This window comes from Homo sapiens, chromosome 12 (genome assembly GCF_000001405.40).
Source record: "Homo sapiens chromosome 12, GRCh38.p14 Primary Assembly".
In the NCBI taxonomy this organism is placed as follows: Eukaryota; Metazoa; Chordata; class Mammalia; order Primates; family Hominidae; genus Homo; species Homo sapiens.
Window position 1 is genome coordinate 104,942,642 of NC_000012.12, and position 22,043 is coordinate 104,964,684.

Genomic DNA, 22,043 nt, shown 5'->3' on the forward strand with positions numbered 1-22,043 from the left:
TTTCTTCAATAAAAATTGAGCCAGCTTTTTTTACTTTAGCAGTGAGGAAACTTACAGCTACGTCTGAAACTCAAATTTTATAATTGATTTACTCATCTAATGTTATACTCCTAGTTTTATTTTCTCTGGTACTCTGTAAGTTGTATTATTTATGTTTTATTCTTACGTACTCTATCTTGTTACACAGAGTCAGCTTATAAAAAATACCTACACGAAATAATGAGTTCCCTGGCACTTATAAATCTGAAATAGCTAAATTTAGAAACTAAGTAACTGCAGTTCATTAGCATTTCAAATGAGTAGAAATTGTTATTCAGGATTCATACAAAAGTATACTTCCATACTTTATCCTTAACACATTTTTATACTCTCACAGTTCAATTTTTAAAATGCAAAACCCACTCAAGGACCAAATTAAAATACACACTTGACTTTGTATAATTAAACTGAAAGTTAAAAGCTTCCAGAATTTTAAGGTGCAGAAAAGATGCCAATGGGTTAAAGTTTAAAAGGAAAAAAAGCAAAAACCTTCTTTTTAAGAGAAGAGAAAGGAAGAAAGGGAGCCAATGTATCAATGCTTAGAAGAAAAACAAAATTATCTTTTTAAGAAAACTAAACAATCTGGAATCATCACCGAGAAAGTTAAAGAAATTCGAGATCAAATACAACGTAGAGCAGAGGAGCTTCAAAACACCAGACCCTGGGGCCTCCTCAGCCAATGGATGCCCTGGAGTCTCCCCTTCTTAGGACCTCTAGCAGCTATAATATTGCTCCTCCTCTTTCGACCCTGTATCTTTAACCTCCTTGTTAAGTTTGTTTCTTCCAGAATCGAAGCTGTAAAGCTACAAATGGTTCTTCAAATGGAGCTCCAGATGCAGTCCATGACTAAGATCTACCACGGACCCCTGGACCAGCCTGCTAGCCCATACTCCGATGTTAATGACATCGAAGGCACCTCTCCTGAGGAAATCTCAACTGCACAACCCCTATTATGCCCCAATTCAGCAGGAAGCAGTTAGAGCGGTCATCGGCCAACCTCTCCAACAGTACTTGGGTTTTCCTGCTGAGAGGGGGGACTGAGAGACAGGACTAGCTGGATTTCCTAGGCCAACTAAGAATCCCTAAGCCTAGCTGGGAAGGTGACCGCATCCACCTTTAAACACGGGGCTTGCAACTTAGCTCGCACCCAAACAATCAGGTAGTAAAGAGAGCTCACTAAAATGCTAATTAGGCAAAAATAGTAGGCAAAGAAATAGCCAATCATCTATCGCCTGAGAGCACAGCAGGAGGGACAATGATCGGGATATAAACCCAGGCATTCGAGGCAGCAACGGCTACCCTTTTTGGGTCCCCTCCCTTTGTATGGGAGCTCTGTTTTCGCTCTATTAAATCTTGCAACTACAAAAAAAAGGGAAAAAAGGAAAAGGAAAAAAATTACTTGCCATCTGTAAGGTTATCATTTTTATTCTACAATTTTAGACCACGAATATCTCATAATTTTCATGGCTATCACATCTTAAATACTTATTTGGAGGACTCATCCACAAGGCCTTCTCTTTCCCCTATCCCCAGAGAGAAGTAGCATTCTGCCATGAACTGGTGGCACTGAAGCACATTACCTCCCATTAGATTATGAAATGGGCAGTGCAGGACAGCCTCCACACCAAGGTCTTCCTCAGGTGGTGGCCTAACATCACCTTCCCTTACTGGGACACCTTCGTAATGGCACCACCCAAGGGATGAGGCCAAGCTTCTACCTTCTCCAAACTGCACTTTCCGTAAATCAGTTCAAGTGCACCAACTAATCACAAGAAACTAAATTGAGATTACGTAAATCACAGGTACACAGTATCATGTTACTCAATTATCTTGGCATCAAGTTGAAACAATGACCTAACTCTGAGTTCTTTACTCCTGCAATCAAGTTTCTCTTCTACCCTTTGGTCAGGGCTGAGCACTATTTTATTCAAATACCAGTTTGTGAGTTTGTCTGTTTTCAAAAGAACTTTCTTCTGGAGGGTTCTAAGCCCAGCTTGAAATTTAGGCTAAAACTATTCTCAAAACCACCCCAAAAGCCAATTTAGCTGTCATATAGTGATCTTTGCTCATAAAAATTCCCAACTACCCTTCTTTCCCAGATTAGTTAAAAGTGTGTTTCTAATATCCACTGGCATAGAGTTCTCTTCTATTGTTTTAATTTTTTTCATAAGAGTAATATGTATTCAATGTAAAAAAAAAAAAAAAGGTCAGGCATCACAGTGGCTGATGCCTATTATCCTAGCACTTTGGGAGGCCAAAGTGGGCATATCACGTGAGGTCAGGAGTTCGAGACCAGCCTGGCCAACATGGTGAAACCCTGTCTCTAATAAAAATACAAAAATTAGGCAGGCGTGGTGGTGCACACCTGTAATCCCAGCTACTCGGGAGGCTGAGGCAGGAGAATCGTTTGAACCCAGGAGGCAAGGTTGCAGTGAGCCGAGATCACACCACTGCACTCCAGCCTGGGCAACAGAGCAAGACTCCATCACACACACAAAAAATAATAAAAATAAAAAGTAAGAAAAGAAAAGAAAAGAAGGCTGGGCACGGTAGTTCACACCTGTAATCCCAGCACTTTGGGAGGCCAATGGGGTCAGATCACAAGGTCAGGAGATTGAGACCATCCTGGCTAATGCGGTGAAACCCCATCTCTACTAAAAATACAAAAAATTAGCCGGGCGTGGTGGCGGGCGCCTGTAGTCCCAGCTACTCAGGAGGCTGAGTCAGGAGAATGGCATGAACACAGGAGGTGGAGCTTGCAGTGAGCCGAGATCGCACCACTGCACTCTAGCATGGGTGACAGAGCGAGACTCCGCCTCAAAAAAAAAGAAAAAAAGAAAAGAAAAAGAAACCACAAAAGATACACAAAAACTGTTTATCCTGAAAATCCACCATCCAGAGATATTGGTATATATAAATTTACTATATTTTTTCCAAATATATGTTTAAGACAAAAATAGGCTCATATTGGACATACTGCTTTGCATCCTGCTTTTTTCCATTTCATAACATATCCAAAAAATTGTCTCAATCAATATTCTACAGTTATCTTTAAGTAAAAGGCAACAGCCTTCATTCTATTAATACATCCTAAATACTTTCAGACAATTCAGAATTCTGCTGTACTCCATTTTTTCATAGCCATAATTCACTTATATCTTATATGGGTTACACACTTGTGAATAAATAACTACAAATGAACCATCAACCTCCAAGGTGAAGCAAGGTGATACACCAAGTCCATGGTGTATCTCCCCTTCAATCCATCACATATAATTCAAAATGAAAATAACGCCAAACAAAACAAGTATAAGAGTCAAAAAAGGTATGATTTTCCCCCATGAATTCTACTTCATTGTTTTTAAAAAATGATAAAACATTAAAATTTTTTTATCTTTTTTGGCGACCCTTTCTAGTGCTCAAACATGCTTCGACTGCATATTAAGCATTATTCCCAGGGATTGAGAAAGGAATAGATTTTTTATTCTAAGAAGTAGCATAGGAGTTTTAAATTCAAGTTATAAAATCCATACACAATCAAAATCCCATAACTGGGTTTACAAATTTCAATCAGGCACTTTCTTTTTCTTTCTTTTTTTGTAGAGACATTGTCTCACTCTATTGCCCAGGAGGAACAGGATGGAGTGCAGGGTGTGATCCTGGCTCACTTTTTCCTTGAACTCCTGGGCTCAAGCAATCTTCCCACCTCAGCCTCCCTAGTAGCTGGAACTACAGGTGCATGCCACCATACCAAACTAATTTTTAAAAATTTTTTTGTGGAGACAGTCTCACTACATTGCTCAGACTGGTCTTGAACTCCTGGCCACAATCTATCTTCCCACCTTGGGCTCCCAAAGTGTTGAGTTTACAGGTATGGGCCACCACATCTGGCCCAGGCACATTTTAAAAGGAGAATACTAACTGCTTATTTAAAGTTGTATTATTCACATGGAATCTTTACGGCAAGTACTTTATGCTATGTTTGAAACTGTACAAATTTTACTGAGATGTTTGCAATGCTTTCATTCAATGAAAGATGACTTGTATTGAGTGATTTTTACGGGGGAATTTCAAGTGACTTATTTGTCAAATCTTCACACTTCAATTAAGAGAGATAATCTGCTTCCAAAAATTAACTGTCAAGAAGTGTCGACACACTAATGATAATGAGAGCAGTTAAGAGCTAGGGCTTCAGAGTCAAACTGGCTTACATCCTGACTTTCACTAACTGTGGGACCTATGCCTCTATACCTCAGTTTTCTCATGTAAATACATCTCCTTCACTGGTTTATGGTGAGGATTAAATGACTTAATACATATAAAGTGCTTAGAACAAACTTCAATAAATGTTAGCTAATATTATCATTATTCATCACTATTATTACACATTTTTTAAAAAGGCTCAAAACCTAACTTCCCACCTCTTTCTCCTCTTACCAATGAAATATACTATGTCATACAATCACAAAAATGTTGTACGCTGCTGTACTGAATTTCTGGCTTTTATTTTTGTCCTTTTTTTTTTTTTTTTTTTTTTTTTTGAGACAGAGTTTCATTCTGTCACCGAGGCTGGAGTGCGGTGGTGCTATCTCGGTTCACTGCAACCTCCACCTCCTGGGTTCAAGCAATTCTTCTGCCTCAGCCTCCTGAGTAGCTGGGACTACAGGTGCGCACCACCATGCTCGGCTAATTTTTGTATTTTTAGTAGAGACAAAGTTCACCATGTTGGCCAGGCTGGTCTGGATCTCCTGACCTCAGGTCCACCCACCTCAGCCTCCCAAAGTGCTGGGATTCCAGGCGTGAGCCACCATGCCTGGCCATTGGCTTTTAATTTTAAGATGAACTATTTTGTTCTAATTTTCTATTTAAAAAATCAACTGGATTTTAATATTCATATTTTATATAACTTATCCTATTTTTCATTAAATTAAATTGCCAGTATATTTTTTAAATTACATACATATTTTACATATATATATGTATGCACTGACCAGTATAAATACATACTAAACGGTACATATATATACCAAAAAGTACAAGTCTTCAGGGAACCACAATGTTTTAAAAGGAAAAAAAGACAATGAAAGTTGGATAAGGAACTAGCCCTAATACTGTTTTTTAATTTAAATATCATATCTCATATATATTTTAATTTACAAAGGACATCTAAATAACATTTTTATAATTTACAAATAAACCAGATTATCTTAAATCATACAATAAGGGTTATCCTGGGCTAATGAACTAAGTCTACTCAACCAGAACTCATGAAAGCATTAGAATCCACCATGAGTTTGCCTGGGGTCATTTTGAAATTCCACTAATCTAGAAATGTGACAAAAGAGTTTGCTGACTTTTCTCGGAAATAATTAAAATTGTTATTATGGAAATTCTTTATTGTTTCTTATCTAAAAGACAGGCTAATGTAGTAGATATAATGTAGCAGCTGAGCTTTTGGGAGCTAGGGATCCCTAAAAATTTTGCTTTCTTTGTCATATTTATAACAGTAGCCTTTCACTAAGTCCCAGTAGAATACACTGGATAATGACGAAAAAAATGTTTATTTCCCCAGGAAGTTGTCCTTTGGCCTAATTTGCTTCCTACATCATTTATACTTACCAGGAATATGAATAGCTTATAAAAATGCCACTCTCAGACTTAAAAAGCACTGCTCCAAAGAACTAAACTCTAATCAGTAAGTCCTAAAAAATATATAAAAACTTAAACCTAAAGGAAAGGAGATCACCCATTCTATCTACATCAATACTATTTAAAGCAAAAAGAATTGCTTTCTCTTATATATACTGACCTCATTTTATCTTTTGTAAAAAAAACCTTGAAGATAAGTATGTTCATCCTTTACAGTTTAGAAAACTGCATCTCAGAGAGGTTAAATAATATGCCCAAAGTTACAACGTTAGTAAGATAAAGACACAGGACTTGAGTTCATGACTTTCTGACTAACCAGTTAATGATAAGGAAGCCCCTGTAGACATTTCTCTGTGTTATAATCCTCTGGCGCCAGTGTACACAGCCATGGGCACAAGGATGATAGAACCAAGGTGTATCATCAGTGTTCCCTCTCAGCTCCTTTCATGCCAAACACTAGAACCCAGTAAACTGGATTCAAGTTATTTTTGAACACAGTTTATTGCTCAAGAATGGAAACAGCTCCTTCACAGGTTTCACCTCTGATCCATAGGTGAACTATCTCTGCACTATCTTCTGTTACTCAATCAATAAATGAACAAATACGGCTGGGCGTGGTGGCTCATGCCTGTAATCAGCACTTTGGGAGGCCGAGGTAGGTGGATCACCTGAGGTCAGGAGTTCGAGACCAGCCTGATCAACATGGAAAAACCCCATCTCTACTAAAAATACAAAATTAGTGGGGCATGGTGGTGGTGCATGCCTGTAATCCCAGCTACTTGGGAGGCTGAGGCAGGAGAATCACTTGAACCCAGGAGGCAGAGGTTGCGGTGAGCCAAGATCACACCATTGCACTCCAGCCTGGGTAACAAAAGCGAAACTCCGTCTCAAATAAATAAATAAATAAGTAAAATAAATGAACAAATATTTTCTGAAGATCCAGAAAAGTAATCATATCATAAATTGCCTTGTTTATAAGTACCAATATAAAAAACAGTGTGGAAGAAATAAGGGAACACTTATAACTTTAGTACCTGCTCCCAGAATGCTCTTACTTTATAACACATTATTTCACTTATTTACATTAAGATCATCCTTTACACAAAGATTTACATACAGATTTACATAAAGATCATCCTTTAATTTTGTAGCTTTTGCTACCAAATTCTGCAAATTATCCACACAGTATTAGACAAAATGTAAGTGTTCACCAACTACAAGTTGAAAGGAGGAATGAACAAAATGATGGTGAGCTAAACTTTTTCTTTTTTTAGACGGAGTTTCGCTCTTGTTGCCCAGGCTGGAGTGCAATGGCACGATCTCAGCTCACCACAACCTCTGCCTCCTGGGTTCAAGCAATTCTCCTGCCTCAGCCTCCTGAGTAGCTGGGATTACAGGCATGTGCCACCACGCCCGGCTAATATTGTATTTTTAGTAAGGACGAGGTTTCTCCACGTTGGTCAGGCTGGCCTCGAACTCCCGACCTCAGGTGATCCGCCTGCCTCAGCCTCCCAAAGTACTGGGATTACAGGTGTGAGCCACTGTGCCTGGCTGGTGCACTGAACCTTTAAGAACAGGTAAGATTTAGAGAAATTGAGGGGAGGTGGGGAGGGGAGAGAAGGAAAAGTGCCTTTCAACAAGGTGAATGGTAATCAGGCAGAAAACTGATGGGAAAATGGGAAGGTATGAGTAGACTATTCAATATGACCAAGCAGCAAAATGAGAAACTTGGGGAAGACATGGAATGCCTGACTATGGGGCTTAGGACTTTGTTTTCTAAATGAGGACAGTTCTAAATGAGGAAGAATAAATAACTTCCATTTATTCATTTATTTTAATTTTGAGACAGGGTCTCTGATATGCTCTGGTTGTGTCCCCACCCAAATCTGATCTTGAATTGTAATCCCCATAATCTCCACGTGTCTAGGAAGAGACCTGGTAGGAGGTGGTTGGATCATGGGGTTGGATTCCCCCACGCTGTTCTCATGATTTTGAGTGAATTCTCATGAGATCTGATGGTTTTATAAGGGACTGTTCTGCCTTCACTCCTCACACTTCTCTCTCTCCTGTTGCCATGTGAAGAAGGTCTTTGCTTCCCCTTCGCCTTCCGCCATGACTGTAAGTTTCCTGAGGCCTCCCCATGTGGAACTGTGAGTCAATTAAACCTCTTTCCTTTATAAATCAGCCAGTCTTGGGTATTTCTTTATAGCACTGTGAGAACGGACTAACACAGTCTCACTACTTTTCCCAGGCTGGTCACGAACTCCTGAACTGAAGCCACCCTACCACCTCAGTCTCCTGAGATAGCTGGGACTACAGGAACTGTGGCTGGCTAAGCCTTTATTTTTAATGCAGAGGAACCCTTTATTTAAATTAAACCCTATGTGAAATCCCAATATATAAAACAGTTTTGTAAAAGCAAAGCAGTACCCATTGAAGCACCCTGGTTTCCACCCACTGGGTCCCCATATTACCCAACTTGAGAAGACCCTGAAACTCCTTCTCGGTTTAAAAACCACTGGATTAGAAAAAGATCTGCAAGGCTAATAACAAAGTGCTCAAAGCATTTACCTCTAAGGAACTGGGTATGCCTAGATTGAGGTGGCTGGGGGAGGGGTAAGCAGTAATAGAAAGCAAGATTGAAATATCATTTTCACTTTTTTTGATTCTACATATTTTTATATTATTTGAACTTTTGTTTGAGTACTTTTTACTTTTTAATTTAAAAAGTAATTAACAGGAAGAAACTATTGCTCTAAAAAAGTATTTTTAATGGTTAAACTTTTTCAAATGGATTCCCATATTTTAGTAAATAATTTCCCTATAGCAGGACATTATTTGGCTAAATTACATTGCAATGAAAATGAATATCTCTGTGCCTAATACTTTCCCATATTTAGAGTTATTTCCTTAGGATAAACTTATACAAGTTAACAGTTTCCATTTAGTTCTACAATGTACTACTTAAATTAAGACTCTGTGGAATATAAAAAGATAAAATTCTCTGAGTGCTTTTTAAAAGCCATCTCATATTAGCAAAATTTGATTTTGGCATTCCAGTTTAAGATACATAAACCCTAACTTAAAAACTAACGAGCAAAATTTTTCACAAATCAAAAATTTAGTAAGATAAATTTGAATCAGAACTGAAATCTCCTTACCTTTTATGAACTGTTCGTAACTTCTTTTACCACTGATCGGAACCAAACACTGAAAGAATTTTTCCTTTATGGTTGGGTTTCACAATTTAATTCTGTGAAGTCATAATACTGTGACAGTAGAATCATGCTCTGGCAACAAACTGACATCATTAAATTCTTATTTGTAAATTCTTTAGGGTATATGGATGTTCTATTTTCATTTGTAAGAACAAAATCTATTTTCTGTTGATTCTTCATTAAGCTCATATGATTGATATATTTTCATCCATTTAGGTTGGTGCAAAAGTAATTGCAGTTTTTGTCATTACTTTTAATTGCAAAAACTGCACTTACTTTTGCACCAACCTAATAATTTATTCCTTTTGTCCTTAGCCATTTTTCTAACACTGCCTTTGGGTGAGTGCTCAGAGAATGCCTCTAAGTTCAAACAAAACAGAAATGATTTCTGGATTGGCTGCTCCTGTGAGCAATCTGTGTCACTGTACTCCCTGGGAAAACATCAAAACCACAATGTTTATTGTTCTTTTTATTATCTCTACTACTGTTTCAATGTAAGAATGCCCTCTGTTAAATTATCTTTTTAATAAATGTATGCAGTTCTATCATTAACATGATTTCAACTGAGAAAAAAAATTTGAATGAAAACTTTTTCTTTGTCCCAAAGCAGACATTACCAGAAACAGCAACGTCATGTCTACTACTGCATAATGTTCCTAATATTAAAGGTATTTAGACTCTATCAACGAAGATTTGCTTAGTCTCTATTGTGAGCCAGGCACTATACTAGTTGCCAGAGACTCAATGTTAAAGGACAGAAGTGAAATCTGTTCTCACAGACCTTTTGGTCTTGGTGCAAAGGTACTTAGGCGAACGAATCTTTATGAACTGGGAAATTCCAATAACAAAAATAGTGGGAAGATTTTTTACAAGAAATAGATTGGAACCAGGTTTTGGAATACCTGTAATGCTGGGCCAATGAATTTGAAGTTTACATCCGAGTTAAGAAAGACCAGGTACCCAAAGAGACCTTTTTCTAAAGATCTCTAATCAGGCCCCGATTAGAACTTTTCAATGATTTGTCATTTCCTCTAAGATAAATCCAACTTCTTTAATAAGGTTAACTAAATCCTGCATAAACACCCCTACTTACCCCTACAATCCAGTAAGTATCTATGAGTGGCACACCCTCATTTTCTATTGTATTCCTTTTAAAAAACATGTGGATTACAACTCACTAATTTGCTTTCACAATCTACTAGTAGGTGCCTGCAGTTAAAGAAAAAAAATGTCACTTTAGTGTACCACATTCTCACACCTCTTGGCCTTTCCACATGTTCTTTTTGCTCAAAACACTTCTGCTCAACCTCACTCTTCCCTTTTACCTAGCTACTTCCTATTCAGCTTAAGATCTCAGCTCTTTAACATCCATGTCCCTGGCCCTCATAGATAAGTTCTCCTTCTTCTGTGGTTCCAAAGCACTCTACACTTAACCAATGCTTATTACGCTTTATCGTAATGGTACTTGTACTAACTGTTTTTCTAGGTTGTAACTCTTAGAGCAAGGACCCATTCTTGTTCACCACTGAATCCCAAAGCCTAGCCCAGTGCCTGTCACGTATTAGACATTCCATAAATATTTAACCAGTACTGGTAAAACAAGGAAATAGACTTGAATAATCTATATATTTAACTACACAATAAAATAATCACTCAAAAGTGTCTAAGAGATTTAGTTATTTCCAAGGAAAATATACAGTCAGTTCATTTTTATAAATGGTGAATTAGTTCCTAGGCTAGCCTACAAAACACTATTTATTTCCCATAACATACTTAACTATGAGAGGATGGCTGTTTACTTCTCTCTGCAATGACAACAGAACTTTCACTCCTCTAAGTAGGAGAAAACAAGATTAAAGGAACACTTTTCTTTCTCTCCACCCCCATCACTAATTCCTCCCACAGGAAAGTGACTTATCTAATTGCTAGGATAGGTATAAAGGTCAACTGTTCAGACAGGCTCCACCCGTGAGCTCTCACTGGCTTTCTTGGACTTGCTGTGCCCTCAAGGAGAGAAAGTTTTCCTTTCCATTCTAACTGCTATAAGATAAGCTCCTTAGGACAGGACTTTCCCTTCCATTTCCTGGTGCAACAGTTTCATCTGGGTAGGTAAATTAAGAAAGAACAGTAAGCATGGGTCTAAGCTCAGTTCTCCAATCCAGCTTTACCGGAAATGAAAATTACACTATTATTTTAATAGTATTTAAATTCTTATCTGGCTTGAGTCTGATCTCAATTTGACTAGAATATGGAGAGAGAAGGGGTGTAACTAGCACACTTGAAAGCTTCAACATGAACAACAGTAATCCCAGTCTGATTTCTGGGTCCTAGGAGAACAGTTAGCATGGAGCAGCAAGGTGGGGCAAAAGGAAAGAGGGATCAAATGAAGGAAAAGGTTTCCACTTTTCCTATTTAGACATTTTTCTTGGGCAAAAATGTCTAAATAAGTCGAATCTGTCTTTATATCCTACAATCTTTCCTTCCAAATTGTTTCATTCTTGCTTTTCTTTTCTCATCTTTCAGATCCCTCATGCTATCTAAAGCTTTCCATTTTTTAACATCCTCACTTTTAGAAGTAGGGCAAACTTTGCCCAATATTCCAAAATGTTCCACGATCTCATAATACTTACATCTACTATCCCTCCTCAAGTCAAAACTCCCACTTCCTTAGTGTAGCTAACCAAGAAGAAAGCAATCTGATTAAATCCATTCACATTAAAATAGAATAACTGACAGTTCTAGTCATTTCCATCTAAATATTTCTGTATTTGTTATTTTTAAGCTAAATAAATCTAACTGCAGTACGTTCAGAGAGAAGAAAAAGTGTCCCTACCCTCATCTACCATAAAGGAGACAGGTCAGCTGTGACCATCACTTCTCAGGGATATCTCCATAGCGATTCCCAATTGTCACTGCCCTCTACTTTCAGTCCTTCCCAATAAGCGCCACTAAAAACCCCAGCGGGCAGAGAAAACATCTGTAGCTGCAGGATATTTGTATATCCATTGGGTAAGTTGGTAACAATCAATATTAGGTTGGATAGTTTATATTTTCAATACGTTTGATAATAATTTCATTAGTTAAAACAAAGTAAAAACACATTTTGGGTTATAAACCCGAAATTACCAGCCTCATTCTTCTAAATAAAGGCAGTGGCATAAAAGGGTTAATTCATATATCCATCATTTTGTAATGTATAGGTTGAAGCAGAGTTAGGCTATGCTTCACATGCTTTTTATCAGTTGCTTATCTATTATTTCCATTTGGAAACCTTTACTTGTATTTTCTATAAAGTTTTGGAAATTGGGAAGTGTACTTTCCAACAATGAGAAAGATTCTTTTCTTGACGAAATTTTACTCAGGCCCCTGAACCTTCTAGGCCCATTTGTGCACTTCCTTGTAAAATGCAGTTTTATCAAAGAACCTCGTCAAGTGAGTTTAGCAACAGCCCCTGACTCTTGGCCCTTGCTTTTTTTTTTTTTTTTTTTTTTTTGAGTTAAGACGAAGTTTTGCTCTGTGCAGTGGCGTGATCTCGGTTCACTGCAACTTCCACCACCTCCTGGGTTCAAGCAATTCTCCTGCCTCAGCCTTCTGAGAAGCTGGGATTACAGGTGCCCGCCAGCACACCAGGCTAATTTTTGTATTTTTAGGAGAGACAGGGTTTCACCATGTTGGCCAGTCTGGTCTCGAACTCCCAACCTCAGGTGATCTGCCCGCCTCAGCCTCCCAAAGTGCTGGGATTACAAGCATGAACCACTGCACCCAGCTGGCCCTCGCTTTCTGATTACCCTCGCTACCTGATTACCCTCACAACCTGATTAGGTTCCTCAGCTTCCACTGTCCCCCAGGTGGTGTCTGATCACTCTGGCCTGTCTTCAGCAAGAATCCTGTTAGGTTGGTTTGGTCTGAATATCCACTACCCCCGGTGTTTCCTCTCAGTACTTTTCTGTCCACTGACCATGACACTGCTCCTTGGCTATAAATTCCCATTTGCCCACACCGTATTCAGAATTGAGCCTAGTCTTCCTCCCAAACTGCAAAATCCCATTCCATGGTCCCTTTACCTATCACAATGGTCCTGAATAGACTTTTTTTTACCACATTTTAACAAGTATCATCGAATAATCTTTTTCTTTAACAACAATCATATTAGATCAGTGGAAAATTGAGTTTGAATTCCTGGGAGGTAACATCAGGTCTTTTTAGTGGTTTTTTTTTTTTTGGCCATGAAAGACCTGATGCTGAATTTGTGTGCGCTCGGAAATTAACCATGAAATAAGCACAGCAGCATTCATTTAGCTGTAAGTGGCTCTTAACTTTAGTGCCATCAAAAATATTTATTTACCACCCACACATGAACATAATTGTAATAAAAACTACACTGCACAAACTTAAGAAAACAAGATTCTCCACTTTACTGAGAAGTTAAACATAAATTTTTGAGTGATTTGTGCTTGCCATTTATTGTTAGTTTGTTCAGCTGGCCACTAATATAAATTTTTTGTAATTAAAGTGATAACTGGGATTTTCAAATTGAGCATAGAATATATGAAAATACCAATTAAGGGTGGTCTCTCTTGACTCCAGTCAGGAATATGCCTTCTGTAGCTTTGCTCAAAATACCAGGGCAGTAAATGTAAAGGGGTCAGTAAGATGTCCAGAATGAACAGGTAGGGTATTCTTAAAGAATGAAGTGGCACTTATTCAACCTTTACCCAAGAATAAGCATTAAGTTTTTCGGTATCAGATTGGTTGGATTTTTTCAAGTCAGTGCCAGTATCCAAACCTATTAACAGAAATTTTTTTCCATAAATGAACAATAAAACTCAATAAAAAGCTAAGCAACCCAGACTGGCCGTGGTGGCTTATGCCTGTAATCCCAGCACTTTGGGAAGCCGAGGTGGGCAGATCACTTGAATTCAGGAGTTGGAGACCAACCTGGCCAACATGGTGAAACCACGTCTCTACTAAAAATACAAAAATTAGCCGGGCATAGTGGTGTGTGCCTGTAGTCCCAGCTACTTGGGAGGCTGAGGCAGGAGAATCGCTTGAACCCCGGAGGTGGAGGTTGCAGTGAGCCAAGATTGTGCCACTGCACTCCAGCCTGGGTGACAGACTGAGAGTCAGTCTCCAAATAAATAAATAAATAAATAAATAAAAATAAAAAGCCAAGCAACCCAATTAAAATATGGGTAAAAGATATGAACATTTTCTCCAAAGAAAATATATGAATGGCCAATAAGCACATGAAAAGATGCTCAGCATCCCCAATCATTAGAGAAATGCAAATCAAAACCACAAAGAGATACCATTCCACACTCACTACGATGGCTATCATAAAAAATAACCAGTAAAAAAGTAACAAGCCTTGGGGAAGATGTGAAGAAATCGGAACCCTCATACACTGCTTAGTGGGAAAGTAAAATGGTACAGCTGCTTTGCTTGGCAGTTCCTCAAAAAGTGAAACACGGAGCAATTGCCCTCCTAGGTATATACCCAAGAGCACTGAAAACACATGTCCACAAAAACGTGTAAACAAATGTGCATAGCAGCATTACACACAATGGCCAAAAACTGGAAACAACCCAAATGTACATCAACTGATGAATAAACAAATGTGGTACACTGATACAACAATATTAATATGCTATAAAAAGTAAAGTACTGATACATACTACATGAGTGAAACTTGAAAACATTACAGTATGTCTTTCGACGCCAGACACAAAAAGCCACATATTGTACGCTTCCATTTATATGAGATTTCCACAACAGGCAAACCCATATAAACAGAAAGTAGATTAGTGGTGGCTAGTGGGGTGGGGTCAAGGGGAAATGAGGAGTGATTACTAAGAGAGACAGGGTTTCTTTTGGGGATGATGATCTGGATAGTGGTCATATTTGGAAAACTCTGTGAATATATTAAAAGCCACACTTTAGAAGAATGAGTTTTATGGCATGTGATGTATATCTCAATTTAAAAATTGTCACTACAAAAAAAAGATGACATATATACGTAATATACACATCAATGTATATCGGTAACACATAGATATGTGTCATCTCTCTCTGTAAATGAGCATTTGGGCTTTTAAATTTGAGATATGCTCCGTGTATATAAAGAGAAGAATGAAAGAAAAGGGTGACGGGGCACTCGCGGAGCCCTGAACAGGCATCTGGGGTGTGCCCGAGCCAGCCTCGCAGCATCTCCATCCCAGCTCACCTTCAGCCATCACTCATACACCACCCGCCGCCTGTCCCTGCCTTGGGCGCCCGGGACCGCTTGTCCGCGGTGGCCGCGGAACAGCTTCCCTCAGCCCGAGGTGGGGCAGGCGCGGGGGCCTGGGCTCGGGCGCTGCCCGGCGGCCCGGAGAGGCGTCCGCAGGGGGCACGGCTGCTCGGGCGGGGCCGCTCCCTCTGCTCCCCGCGCCCCCGCCGCCGGGTCCCGAGCCCAGGCCTCTCGGCCCCACCTCCCTCCCGCACCTGATGCGCCCGAACGCGGCGCCGCGGCCGAAGCCGAGACTTCCCCTCCATGGTCACCTGTTCCGGAGCGCGGCGGCGGCAGCGGCCGGTGTGAGAAGGGTCCCCGTCTCCTCAGACCAGACCGAGACACCAGGGGCGGGGGATGGAAGGGGCATTCACCTGGTGCCCGGCACCGGTGGTGGCGGGGAGGACAGCGGCTCCCAGCCCACAGCTCCTTCCTGCTCCCGCGCCTCCTCGCGCGGCTGCGGCCCCAAGCTGACAGCCCGGCCGTCGGCGCCCGCGGCCCCCTGACTCCCCGCCGCCCCGCCCCCGCGCGGCAGCCCCGCGCAAGCGCAGCCGCGCCGCCGCCGGGGAAGCCCGGGCCTTGGTGATGTGGCCCGCGGGGCGGCGACCCGGAGCGACAGCACCGCCCCGCCCGGACCCCGGCCGCGCCCTGGCAGACAGCTGTCGGGAACGGGGGCGCTGGATGACGGCAAGGGGGCAGTTTTCTGGGGAGCCTGCCCAGGAGAGAAGGGCTGTGGCCTCCTTCGGCATCCCTCTTCCCCACCAGCCCACGCACGCCCACTTCACCGCCTGCTCCAAGGTCCGAACCCCCGAATCCATGACTCATGATTTCTCTTCTCAGACCAGCGGCCTCTTTTTGGCTGAGGTCATGTTTCTTGCAGACTGGAGTTAAAACCGAACCACGTGTCTTTCGGCCCAGCAGCGCATAGTGTGGGCGGTGCAGGAGCCGAGACGGGCAGGAACCACCGCAGGAGGGGGTGAGGTTTAGGGCAGCCCCATAGCACCCTCCCCGTGCCAGGCAGGTGTAGGCGCCAAGCGCATGGGGCGCTGAAGAGTTGGCTGGGGTGCCAGGCTTTTCAAGTTTCCCCACACTTGCTTTTAAACCTAGATCAAACTGATCCAAAGTCTGCATGTAAATCCGAGAGCTCATTTATTTTATTTACAAAACTATTGAGCATCTACTGTGTATGATTCAGGGAATGAGACACACCCCAGGGATACTCCAGTGAACAAAAGAAAGGTGTTGGTCCGAAGACAGTTATTTTAAAAATTACACAGCTAATGCCATAATGCCAGGATTGGTGGCTCATGCGTGTAACCTCAACACTTCGGGAGGACCAGGCGAGAGGATCGCTTGAGGCCAGGAATTTGAGACCAGCCTGGGCAAACACAGCGAGACCTGGAGTGGCTAGGAGACTGAGGTGGGAGGATCGCCTGAGCCCAGGAGTTCAAGGCTGCAGCGGGCTATGATCGCATCACTGCACTCCAGTCTGGGCCACAAAATGAGACCTTGTCTCTAAAACAACAACTCAAAATTACACAGCTAATGATACTCTTTTCCTCAAATCAAAGCTTCTACCAATTCCAAGCCACACCAGTGATTTAGTAGCAGCTTTTCTGGTGCTGAAGGACACCAGCATACATTTATCCATGTTCTTTTTTTTTTTCCTTATGCTTTGCGATCAGACTTTGAGCTTTAACCTTAACCTTCAGGGTGAAGGGTGCTTCGGTATCACTCTTGGCCATCTGCAGTCATGCTTTTTATAATGACTCATCCTGGTGTTCCTCACCACCTAAAAATGAAAGTATAATTGCAAGGAATATGGAAAAGCAGTGTTTTGACTGCATTTCCAGCTGGTTTTTGTTCTGGTTGTTTTTTGAATTACAGATCATTAGAAAGTAGCTGCTCTTGAAAGTTTGGCAGAAGTTCCACCCAATATGTGTTCCTCCCCTGAGTGTGTAGTCTTTCAAGATTTCTACACAAAGCATATACAGAAGCCAGCCTGTCTTGGTTTTGAAAATTCTTCCACCATTTTTTTCTGAGAGAGCTGGTGGTTTCTACCGTCCTTCAGAGCATTACATGGCATGTGGCAGGCAACCTTCTACTTACATTCTTCATTCAGTACCGCAAAGTAGTGTGTACTTTGGAGATATGTTAAGCTTCAAGTTGGAATCCAAATTTAAATCAAATTTCAGCCCTGAAAATAACTCACATTGGAATCGGGCGAGGAAATGCCCCCTTGTAAAAAACTGGGTCCTAATGGGTGCAGACAACAACAATCCCATTTCTACTTCATCTCCCGTCTGACAGCTGGCAACTTCAAATGTGAAGCAAGTGGCTTGGACTTGAGGCTGTGTGGTGATGCTGTTGTGATTGCTGGAAAAAAGCCTGAGAGTTATGAGAGTGTATAACAAAGGAGCGTGTCTGTGCTAGGGGGTAAGAAAGATCTCCTGGAGGAAGTGACATTTAATCTCAGCCTTGAAGAATAAGGAGGAGTTAGGGCAGGCAACATAGAGAAGGGGGTGGGGTGGGCAGTGCATTTAGCTGTGGAAACTGCAGGTTTGAAGGCCCTTTGGTAGGAAGAGGCTCTGTCTGTGAAGGCTTTGGGAAAAGGCCACTGTGCTTAGACTGAGAGAGCTACCTGGGAGGGAGAGGTGGGCGGGCCCTTGAGGGTCAGGTTAAGGACTTTGGATTTAATCCTAAAGACAAAAGAAGCCAATGAAGAGTTGAAAAGGTCCTATCTGGACATGAAAAATTGCATTTGTAAAAGATGATCCTGGATGCAGTGGCTCACACCTGTAATCCCAGCACATTGGGAGGCTGAGGTGGGAGGATCACTAGAGGCCAGGAGTTTGAGACCAGCCTGGGCAACATTGCAAGACCCCCATCTCTACAAAAATAAAATAAAATTAGCCAGGCTTGGTGGCACGCACCTGACTGAGCCCAGGAGCTCGAGGCTGCAGTGAGCTATGATCGTGCCTCTGCATTCCAGCTTGGGCAGCAGAGTGTGAGACATTGTCTCTTAAAAAAAAAAAAAAAAAAAAAAAAAAGAGATTATTCCGGCTGCAGAGTGGAGAATTAATAAGAAGGGTGCAACAGAGGATGTGTGACAACCAGTTTGCAGGCAATGGAGATTAGGAGATGATGGTGGATTGAAGATATAGGTCAGGGTTAGAACTGTAAGGATTTGATCAAATGCATGGAAGGTAAAGGCGAAAAAGTGTCAAAAAATGACTCCCAAGTTTCTAATTTGAGTTTATGCCATTTCCTGATTTGGGAAATGTGGAGGAGGAGATCAGAAGGGGACAATTTTGAGTTGCTTTATATATGTTGAGTTTGATACCCCTATGAGACATTCAAATGAAGATACTGACTCTATGTTTGAAAAACTGCAACTCAGAGTAGAGATCTGGATTGAGGTGAATCAAAACTAAATTTTAGGAGAGCACATAATATGAACTGTTCATAAGATTTAACCTCTAAACTTCAGAGAAAACCTGAGCAGGCCAGGTGTGGTGGCTCATGCCTGTAATCGAGCACTTTGGGAAGCTGAGTCAGGTGGATCACTCGAGGTCAGGAGTTGGAGATCAGCCTGGCCAACATGGTGAAACCCTATCTCTACTAAAAATACAAAAATTAGCCAGGTGTGGTGGCGTGAACCTGTAGTCTCGGCTACTCAGGAGGCTGAGGTATGAGAATCACTTGAACCTGGGAGGTGGAGGTTGCAGTGAGCCAAGATTGCGCCACTGCACTCCAGCCTGGGCATCAGAGCTAGCCTCCATCTCAAAAACAAAAACAAAAACCTGAGCAGAAGCAAAGGGAATCTAATATTTACTATGTGTGAGACACTTCGCACAGATGATTTTCTTTAATCTTGACACTCTATAAAATGATGTTATAATCCCATTTTACATACGAGGAAACTGAGGGTTAAATCCTTGCTCAAAGTTACTCAAATTCCCAAGACCTACCTCAGACCCATTAAATAAGAATCTCTATGGATATTTCTGGTGATCACTGAGGCTCAAGAACCACCATGTGGCCTACTTAAAAGTGGTCCCACAAACCATATAAATGCCCACAAAGAAAAAGAACTAGAGAAAAACCATCATTCAGGGGACATGCAGCCCATGCAGCCAATGTTCCAGACACATGTGCTAGTTTCTGCCCCTACCCCCATTATCAGTGCCCTTCCTGGGAATCTCTGCAATACTCATTTGTTCATTCATTCAACAGGTAGCTATTGTGGGCCTCTTTTGTGCCAAATATAAATCATCATTCATTCATTTATAAATATTTTTTGAGCACTTAGCTAAATGCCACATTTTGTCCTATGCTCTGGGAATACAGTATTGAACAACATAAAGGAATGCCTGCCTTACAGAGTTCATGTTCAAATGGGGAAAGAAAATAAACAACTAATAAACAAATAAGCAAATATATATATCTAGGTATATGGTGATAACTACTATGAAAAGAAATAGAGTTAAAGAGTTAGAGAGTTTGGGGGCGGGGTGGGGAAGGTGTGGAGAGGAGCGGGGACTGTTTTATATAAACTAATCCAGGGAGACCTTGATGGCTTGAACAAAAAGGAGTGAGGGAACAGTAATAATACCTGGGGAAAGTACAGCAAGCACAAAGGTCCTAAGACAGGAGTGTGTATGTTGTGTTCAGGAGACAGCAAGGAGTCTCCTGTGTCTGTAGTGAAGTAATCAAGTGGTTGAGATGAAGCAAAATTAAATTTGCAGGCCAGGTGCTGTGGCTCACGCCAGTAATCCCAACACATTAGGAGGCTGAGGTGGGCGGATCACTTGAGGTCAGGAATTCGAGACCAGCCTGGCCAACATGGTGAAACCCCGTCTTTACCAAAAATACAAAAATTAGCCGAGCCTGGTGGTGCATGCCTGTAGTCCCAGTTACTCAGGAGGCATGAGAATCACTTGAGCCCGGGAGGTGGAAGTTGCAGTGAGCCAAGATTGCACCACTGCTCTCCAGCCTGGGCAACAGAGTGAGACTCCAGGGAAAAAAAAGAAAAAATTAGATTTGCAGATGCAGTCAGAGAAGTGGCTAGGGGCAGGGCTTGCAGGCCATTGGCTTTGACTCTGAGCAAGGTGAGGGCCACTAAAAGGATCTCAGTGGAAGTGGCCCCCTGTGACTTAGATTTCAGTGGGATCACTGTGGAGAGCCAAGTGCGGAAGCCAGGGCGGAAGCAGGAAGACCCCTGAGGAGGCTTTTGTGATAATCCCGATGAGAGGGATGGTAGCCCAGCCCAAGGTGGGCACAGAGGAAAAGCACTGGACTCTGATACATTTGTTTGAGAGTAGAGCTGAAATACAGGATTGCCTAATGGATTAAATGTAGAGTTTAAGAGGAAGAGAGGCGTTAAAGATGCCTCCAAGGTTTTTGGCTCAAGCAGCTAGAAGAATGGAATTCCCATTTGCTGCAGTGGAAACGGCTGTGAGAATAAAGTCTTGAGGCAGGTATGAGATCACCTAGTGGGGTTTACTGTTCTAACTGCCTTGTCTCTATGAACTCCTTCAGTACTCACGACAACTCTCTAAGATAGGTACTATTTTCATTCCTGTTTTATAGATGCGGAATTGAGGCTTTACCCTACAATGTGCCACAGATTCCACGTCTGTAAAATGAGAATAGTACTCCAGAGTTTACAGTTGCATTGCCTATCGGGGAAGCCAGACAATTAGATAAGCAATATAATAATCTACAGTTATGGTAGGGAAAGTCTGAGGGGCTATAGTTACACAAAGCAGAAGCATCTTTCCAAGTTTGGGGGTAGGGGCAGAAAAACATCAGGGAAGACTTCTAAGAGGATGTAATATTAGACTAAAAGCTAAAGAATCAATAGTCATGCTGCTGTGGTTTGAATGTGTCCCCCAAAGCTCATGTGTTGGCAGATTAATTCCTGATACAACAGTGTTGAGAAGTGGGTGATTAAGAGATGATTAGGTCATGAGAGTTCTGCCCTCCTGAAAAGATTAATGTTGTTATCTTGGGAGTGGGCTCATTATCACGAGAGTGGGTTTGTTATAAAACTGAGTTCCGCCTTCTCTTACATGCATGCTTGCTCTCTCTCTCTCTCACACACATATGTGTGCACATGCACACACGCGCACACACACACACACACACACACCCCTTTGCGATGCCTTCTGCCATTTTATGAAGCACCAAGAAGGCCATCACCAGATACAGCCCCTCAATCTCAGACTTTCCAGCCTCCAGAACTGTGAGCCAAATAAATTTCTGTTTGTTATAAATTACCCAGTCTGTGATAATCTGTTACAGCAACTTAAACTAAGACACGTGCTAAGAGAAATTTTAGGACTAGGGATAAGAAAAGAAGGAAAGAGTATTCCAGGAAGAGGTAACTGCTTGTACAGAAAAAAAAGAGGGGCGATTTTTAGTAATTGAAAGGATTTCAGTGCAATGTTTGTACTCTCTCAGAGCACCTTATTGATTGGTCCCTGCTGAGAGTTTTTCTCCACAAGTACATGGTAATGCTGAGGCAGGATACGTAGTCAAGGAAACGACCATGTTCTCAGAATGCAGCAACCATGGTGACCGTACAGCCAACACAGTAAGCCTCAGTATTCGCATTGGAATTGAGTTCATTCAAGCAAAGCTATCTTCAGTAGGGACTTTGCCTTCTAAAGAGCATGCACATTTTGATTTTACCTGTCCTCAAACTGACCCTTTGCTCGGTATAATAGTAAAAAACCCCTGGGTGGAGATTTAAGATGCTAATGAGACATGCGACATATGAACAAGCATGAACAGCTACTGTGCATGTGCACCCAGAAGACCACCCAGAACATGCTTACTAGTAACACTTCTTCCAACCTCCTTAT

At 41.5% G+C, this 22,043-nt stretch overlaps 1 protein-coding gene across 20 annotated transcripts in view, besides 2 other annotated features; it reads right to left on the minus strand.

The window, feature by feature from the left end:
- Positions 1-16,105, minus strand: part of SLC41A2 (solute carrier family 41 member 2) — a 156,946-nt gene extending 140,841 nt beyond the window's left edge. For 7 of the 20 annotated variants that reach the window (NM_001352171.3, NM_001387130.1, NM_032148.6 and 4 more), the window contains exon 1: positions 15,447-15,649. The gene's annotated coding sequence lies outside the window, so the exon portion shown is untranslated. Of the gene's footprint in view, positions 1-1,619; positions 2,207-8,849; positions 12,349-15,389; positions 15,650-15,948 lie in introns of those variants that run through there. The other 13 variants (NM_001352172.3, NM_001387129.1, NM_001352170.3 and 10 more) reach the window with 7 other exon arrangements.
- Positions 15,038-15,367: a silencer, noted in NCBI's record as "silent region_4799". NCBI's record gives its function as "represses an Ori minimal core promoter by ATAC-STARR-seq in GM12878 lymphoblastoid cells {active_cell/tissue: GM12878}" and the evidence as "EXISTENCE:reporter gene assay evidence [ECO:0000049][PMID:35858748]".
- Positions 15,558-15,827: a silencer, noted in NCBI's record as "silent region_4800". NCBI's record gives its function as "represses an Ori minimal core promoter by ATAC-STARR-seq in GM12878 lymphoblastoid cells {active_cell/tissue: GM12878}" and the evidence as "EXISTENCE:reporter gene assay evidence [ECO:0000049][PMID:35858748]".
- Positions 16,106-22,043: the final 5,938 nt, after the last annotated feature.